The sequence below is a fragment of the Homo sapiens genome, chromosome 9 (genome assembly GCF_000001405.40).
Source record: "Homo sapiens chromosome 9, GRCh38.p14 Primary Assembly".
Taxonomy (NCBI): Eukaryota; Metazoa; Chordata; class Mammalia; order Primates; family Hominidae; genus Homo; species Homo sapiens.
This window is the reverse complement of record NC_000009.12, coordinates 131780343-131788210: the sequence shown is the minus strand read 5'-3', so window position 1 is coordinate 131788210 and position 7868 is coordinate 131780343. Positions and strand designations below refer to the sequence as shown.

General features: G+C 47.3%; 1 pseudogene; it reads left to right on the top strand.

Moving 5' to 3' along the window:
• On the top strand, positions 5420-5785 carry EIF4A1P3 (eukaryotic translation initiation factor 4A1 pseudogene 3; annotated as a pseudogene).

Sequence of the window (7868 nt, the reverse complement as noted above, 5' to 3'; positions counted from 1 at the left end):
CTCCACCAGGCTTCCCGCCAGGCTTGCCCCCTTCTCTTTGTCATGTTTCTTCTCCCCTCCCTCCTCCGACTCAGGTGTGTGTGTCCCCCTCCGACTCAGGCGTTACGTAGAGTTCAGGCTCAGAAATGAGACAGTTGTGTTCGATTTCTGACTCTGCTTTGTGACCTTGAGCAAGTCACTTACCCTCTCCAGACCTCAGTTTATTTATCTGTGAAATGGGTCATACTCATGCCTGCTTTGTTGAGGAGTCAGTGGGGCCAGGGGAGGTTTTGTGCGTAAAGCACTGAGCCTGGTGCTTCAGAGGAATGGACCCATCAGACAGACCCTGCGTGGCCCCAGAGGTTTCACAAGTTAAGTGGGTCCCCCAGCACAGAGTTAGTTCATCCATCCCCACCCCACCCCCTGCGCCCGGGCAGCCTCCAGGGTACTTCTCAGCTGCAAAGAGTATTTTCAGCTCAGACCATACAGCCCTAGGCTAATTTGAAAATGAGGCTCCTAGCGGGATCCCAAATACCAGGGATGAGCTGCAGGGAGGGGCAGACATTAGCTTCGGAAAGCAGATTAGAGAAGGAAGCCCCCCGACAGCAGGAAAGAGCAGAAATCAGGGCTTTGAAAAGAAAATGGCCAAATGCAGAGTGTGAAACCATTCTGGGCCGAGGGGGAGAACTCACCCTGAATGTGGTGAGGGTCGCCTCTCTTTCCCAACGAGGACTACAACGCCAAGGCCGTTACTTTAGCAGGGCCCTCAGTCCACGGCCTGGCCTCGGGAACACAGATCATGTCACCTGGCACTGAGGAGGGGCAGAGAGGTGGCATCGCCAGCCCACAAACCCAGGACCCACAGTTGTCTCCCAGGCTCCACCCTTTCCTGGCTGTGTGACCTCGAGTAAGGCACTAAACATCTCTGAGGTTCATTTCCTCCTCAGGAAATGGTAAGTACAAGGCCTCCCTCCCACCCAACACCACGAGGATGCTGTCTCCGTGTCTGCCTGATCCCGGGTCCCTCCCCAAGGTCTGGCACAAGCAGGAGGCTTGCTACAGACTTGGTAAAGAGTGAAAGACAGTCCCAGCCAGACCATCCTCTTCACTGACAAGGAGGGTGGGGAAACTGAGGCACAGAAGAGTTGCTTAGGGTGACTGGTCATAAGAGGAGCACAGAGATGTAATGTCAGATTTTAGCCAGACGTTTGGGGCAAGGTCCCTGTGGGGGCCTTGTTTTCACTCCCTTTTGACCCTCCAAAGCCCCCATATGTGCAGATCTCCTTACCTAAGAATGACACCGGAAATGCTGGCATCAGAAATGAGAAACTGTAGGAAAATACAAAGAAAGAAGAAAAATCACCTGAATCCCACCATCCCAAGGCACCTGCTGGTGATATTCCAGAGCACGCCTTCCTGCCGTCCTTCCAGGCACCTGTTCATGAATGGCCTTGTGGGTACAGTTTTACCTGCCCACAGGTAAAACTGTGGGATCACACCTGTAATCCCAGCACTTTGGGAGGCCAAGGTGGGTGGACTTGAGCCCAGGAGTTTGAGACCAGCCTGAGCAACATGATGAAACCCCATCTCCACAAAAAATTAGCTAGGCATGGTGATGCGTGCCTGTAGTCCCAGCTATTCAGGAGGCTGAGGTGGGAGGAACACCTGGGCCAGGAGGTTGAGGCTGCAGTGAGCCAAGATTGTGCCATTGCACTCCAGCCTGGGTGACAGACCTTGTCTCTAAATAAATACATGTTTTAAAATGTACCTCCAACATCATTTTTACTGGCTATGTAAGAATCCATTGTATGGATGGATTCTGACAGAATCAATCAATCTCCAGTTGGGGTAGAGAGCTAACGATTGGTGTTTTTTTTCACTGGAAACAAGTGACCGGACAGGCAGACATCCAACTTCTCTGAACCATCCCTGGTGACAGGGGCTTGCTATTCACAAGAGAGTCACATTCCAACTGCAGGCAGCTCCAGGGTTAGGAAATCCTTCCTGAGGTCGAGCCTGAATCTGCCTCCCAAGCCCTTCCTCACACTGGTGTCAATTCAATTCTGCACTTAGGGTGACACACACTGTCTATCCCTCAGCCTCGGTCTCCTGGTCTCCACCCCAAAACCAAACCTCACACCCATCTTATTTTTTTTTTTTTTTTTTTGAGACAGAGTCTCACTCTGTCACGCAGGCTGGAGTGCAGTGACACAATCACAGCTCATTTCAGCCTTGGCTTCCTGGGCTCAGGCAATTCTCCCACCTTAGTCTCCCAAGTAGCTGGGACTGCAGGTGCACATGCCACCACACCTGGCTAATTTTTTGTATTTTTGTTGTTGTTGTAAAGAGACAGGGTTTCACCATGTTGCCCAGGCTGGTCTTGAACTCCTGGGCTCAAGTGATCCTCCCACTATGGCCTCCCAAAGTGCTGGTATTACAGGCATGAGCCACTGCACCCAGCCCACACACCCATCTTTTTGATCTCTTGGTTGGAGAGAGAGGTGCCTTCCCCACTGGCACGGGCAAGCCTCCCAGGGCCACAGCGGGGTATGAGATTTGCAGATTTAGAAAGAATGAGCTTTGGCTTTAGAGCCAGACATTCCTAGGTTCAAAGTCCGGCTTCACCATTTCCTGGCTATGCGACCTGGGGAAGGCACTTGACCTCGCTGAGCCTCAGTTTCCTCATCTGTAAAATAGGTTTAATCACCAACCTCATGTCACAAAAATGTCAGGGGGGCTTATTTGTAAACCACTTAGTTTAGGACAAGCTGATGATAAAGACTTAAATGGTAGAAAATGATACTCCAGACAGCAGGGAGATGCTCTCCATGAGGATCCAGGTGACAGGCCCAGTGGGGATCTGGGAGCCTCATGGAGACGAGACATCCCAGCCCTGCCCCCTCTGCCCCCTGTCAAAGGCCTGTGACAAGCTAATCCCTCATGGAGGGGAGGGCTCCAGGACCAGGAGGGGCGGCTCGGCGAGGAGGGAGGGCTAAAGACTTACAGAGCGATCAATACATTATTTAACAGCAAGAATGCAAATGAGGAAAATTAATGAAGGCGCTGTCTCAGCCCCTGCCTCCCCATCCCCCACTGTTCTTGACTTCGGATTGCTGACAAATTCTCTAGAAAATATCAAAACAGCCTCCGGCTGGAACCTGCCACAGTGATGCACCATTATCTATTATTGATGTAAACCTTGACAAGTTCTCTTTTTAAGGAAGACAAGCACGAGAGAGAGCTGCTAATCTGTGTTTAAAGGGATAGACTGTCATTTCCCTTCCCCAGGGCTGCCGGGCCACTGGAGCGCCTGCAAACTGCAGGCCCTCTGCCTGCCCTGTCATTTTCGGTAGCTGGAGGGACCCAGTCCTAACCAGAACAGGGAGGGAGACCTGGAAACAGCAATGGGAGGTCAGGGCCGGGGGAGTGGGGTGGTATTTTGTGCCCCTCACCAGCTTTCCCTTGGATGTGCCTCAGTTTCCCTCTTTATGCTCTTTCCAAGGCCAGCTATTTTATGGCATAACCTTGCGGGCAAGGTAGGAGTCGTGCTGAAACCAGAGAGCTCTGACCCCTGCCTCAGTCATCTGAAGTGTTTTTAGGCCAGTGAAACTCTGTATGATGCTACAGTGGTGGATCTGTGTCATTAGACATTTGTCCAGATGCACAGGGTGCCCAACATCAGGAGAGAACTCTATGTAAACTGCAGACACCGGGTGGCAACGATGTGTCAACAGAGGTTCATCCATTGTAACTGATGTCCCGCTCTGATGGGGGATGTTAATAGAGGGGAGGCAGTGCAGGTGCAGGGGTATATGAGAGTATATGAGAAATCTCTGTACCTTTCACTCAGTTTTTCTGTGAACCTAAAACTTCTCTAAAAAATAAAGTCTGTTTTTCTAAAAATCCTTGAGGCTGGGCACAGCAGCTCATGCCTGTAATCCTAGCACTTTGGGAAACCAAGGCAGGAGCATAACTTGAGCCCAGGAGTCCAAGACCAGCCTGGACAACACAGGGAGACCCCCCCATCTCTACAAAAAAAATCCAAAAATTAGCCAGCCTTGGTGGCACACAGCTGTGCTTCCAGATACTCGGGAGACTGAGGTAGGAGGAGCATTTGAACCCAGGAGATGAAAGCTTCAGTGAGCTATGATTGCATCACTGCACCCCAACCTGGGCAACAGAGTGAGATCCTGTCTCAAAAACAAACAAACAAACAAACAAACAAACAAAACCAACGGCCCAAAAGTTCCTTCAGCTGATACACAACTTCAGCACAGTTTCAGGATACAAAGTCAATGTACAAAAATCACTAGCATTCCTCTATACAAGCGATAGCCAAGCCAAGAGCCAAATCAGGAAGGCAATCCCATTCACAATCGCCACAGAAAGAATAAAATACTTAGGAATACAGCTAACCTGGGAGGTAAAAGATCTCTACAATGAGAATTACAAAACACTGCTCCAAGAAATCAGAGAAGACACAAACAAATGGGAAAACATCCTATGCTCCTGGATAGGAAATAAATATCATTAAAATGGTCATACTGCCCAAAGCAATTTACAGATTCAATGCTATTCCTATCAAACTACCAATGACAGTATTCACAGAACTAGAAAAAAAACTACTTTAAAATTCATATGGAAGGAAAAAAGAGCCTGAACAGCCAAGGAAATCCTAAGCAAAAAGAGCAAAGCTGGAGACATCATATTACCCAACTTCAAAGTATACTACAGGGCTACACTAACCAAAACAGCATGGTACCAGTACAAAATCAGGCACATAGACCAATGGAGCAGAATAGAGAGCCCAGAAATAAGGCTGTACACTTAGGACCATCTGATCTTTGACAAAGCTGACAAAAACAAGCAATGGGGAAAAGACTCCCTATTCAATAAATGGTGCTTGGATAACTGGGTAGCCATATGCAGAAGATTGAAACTGGACCCCTTCCTCACACCATACACAAAAATCAAATCAAGATGGAATAACCACTTAAATGTAAAACCCAAAACTATACAAACCCTGGAAGACAATCCAGGCAATACCATCCTGGACATAGGAATGGGCAAATATTTCATGGCAAAGACACCAAAAGCAATCGCCACAAAAGCAAAAATTGGCAAGTAGGATCTAATTAAGCTTAAGAGCTTCTGCACAACAAAACAAACTAACAACAGAGTAAACAGGCAACCCACAGAATGGGAAAACCTATTTGCAAACTATGTATCTGACAAAGGTCTGATATCCAACATCTATAAGGAACTTAAACAAATTTACAAGGGAAAAGCAACCCCATTAAAAAGTGGGCAAAGTAAGGTCTTTGGGGAACAGGGATGCTTATTTCCTCTGCCTTCCTTGTCTGCCTACACGGATACCTACGTCTCTTCCCTTTGAGATACATCTCACGCACATGCTGAAGAGTTGTCTTTCTTGACATAGGCCAGAGGCATTGATGTGCAGCAGGTTTCTTTAGTCAACCATGACCTTCCCACCAACAGGGAAAACTATATCCACAGAATCAGTCGAGATGGATGGTTTGGCCGTAAGGGTGTGGCTATTAACATGGTGACAGAAGAAGACAAGGGGACTTTTCAAAACATCGAGAACTTCTACAACACTTCCATTGAGGAAATTCCCCTCAATGTTCCTGACCTCATCTGAGGGGCTGTCCTGCTCCCTAGCCCCAGCCAGGGTTCAATCTTGGAGGGCTGAGGAGCAGCAGGAGAGGGGAAGGAAAGGAGCCAAGGGATGGACGTCTTGTCATTTTTTTTCTTTGAATAAATATCATTTTTTGAGGCAAAAGAAAAAAAAGTAGGCAAAGGACATGAACAGACACTTTCCAAAAGAAGACATACATGCAGCCAACAAGCATATGAAAAAAAGACTCAGTATCACTGATCATTAGAAAAATGCAAGTCAAAACCACCGTGAGATACCATCTCACACCAATCAGAATGGCTGTGATTAAAAAGTCAAAAAATAACAGATGCTGGTGAGGTTGTGGAGAAAAGGGAATCTTTATACACTGTTGGTGTTAATTAGTTCAACCCTTGTGGAAAACAGTGTGGCAATTCCTCAAAGAGCTAAAAACAGAACTACCATTCAACCCAGCCATCCTACTACTGGATATATACCCAAAGGAATATAAGTCATTCTACCATAAAGACATGTGCGTGCAAACGTTCATTTCAGCACTCTTCACAATAGCAAAGACATGGAACCAACTCGAATGCTTATCAATGACAAATTGGATCAAGAAAATGTGGTACCTGGTCGGGCATTGTGGCTCACACCTGTAATCCCAGCACTTTAGGAGGCTGAGGCGGGCAGATCACTTGAGGCCAGGAGTTCGAGACTAGCCTGGCCAACATGGTGAAACCCTGTCTCTACTTAAAAAAAAAACAAAAACGTAGCCAGGCATGGTTAGCAGGTGCCTGTAATCCCAGCTCCTTGGGAGGCTGAGGCAGGAGAATTGTTTGAACCCGGGAGGCGGAGGCTGCAGTGAGCCGAGATTACGCCATTGCAACACTCCCTATTACCACACCCTCTTGTTTCTCTCCTTTACATGACCTGTCCACCCCCATAAAGGCATTCATGCTTGTGACCCCTGGGTTATATGCTCTCAAAAATTTCAGTTATGTGCACTGTGATCATCAGCTATAAACCAGCAATGAATCTGTGGTCTCTCATTTCTCAATGATGCCATTTCTCTGAAGCACTTTTCATAACGGCTTTAAATTTAAGCAAGTTAGATTTGCTTAATGTCTAACTCCTTTGTCAAAACACAAGTCCCATGAGGGTGTGTGCCCCACACTAGATGGCCCAAGCTGGTTCTACTGCTACAGTTCTCACAGCCGCTTCTTATACACCCTCTATCCTGCTTCTGGTCTCGCTGGCTGTGGTCCAGTTGTGCTGTTTACAAAGTCTCCTCTCCACGAAGTCCCTCTTCACTGCTTCCAGCCTTCCAGGGGAGCAAAAAAGAAAACCCATGCTTCTTAGAAATGAGTCTCAAATGAGACTCAATGACTCATAGGGAGCTCTCCTGTGGATCAAGTTCATGAAATTTCATGCAAGAGTTTTGAAACCTTGAAAGCCCTCCTTCCAAGAGTTGGTGGTTTTTTTTTTCTATTGATTTGCCTGATGTGTTTCAGTTAGTTGCATTTCTTCTTTTTTTTTTTTTTAACTCTTATTTTAGGTTAGGGGGTACATGTGAAGGTTTGTTTTCTTAGGTAAACTCGTGTCACAGGGGTTTGTTGTACAAATTACTAAATCAACCAGGTATGAAGCCCAGCACCCAACAGTTATCTTTTCTGCTCCTCTCCCTCCGCCCACCCTCTACCCTCAAGTAGACCTCAGTGTCTGTTTTTCCCTTCTTTGTGTTCATGAGTTCTCATCATTTAACTCCCACTTATAAGTGAGAACATGTGGTATTTGGTTACCCTTAGTTTGCTAAGTATAATAGTCTCCAGCTCCACCCATGTTCCCGCAAAAGACATGTTCTTTTTTAATGGCTGCGTCATATTCCGTGGTGTATATGTGCCATATTTTCTTTTTCTTTTCTTTTTTTTTTTTGGGCGGGGGCGCGGCAGAGTTTTGCTCTTGTCGCCCAGGCTGGAGTGGCACTATCACGGCTCACTGCAGCCTTGACCTCCCAGGCACTCAAGTGATTCTCTCACCTCAGCCTCCCAAGTAGCTGGGACTACAGGTGCGCACCACCATGCTCAGCTAATTTTTGCATTTCTCATAGAGACAGGGCTTCACCATGTTGCCCAGGCTGCCCGGGCGCTGGGGTCACAGCCATGAGCCACCACGCTCAGCTGATATTTCCCAATTTTCAAACACTGTTAACTAATTCTTACTTTCTAAAACCGTGGCACAGGCCAAACAA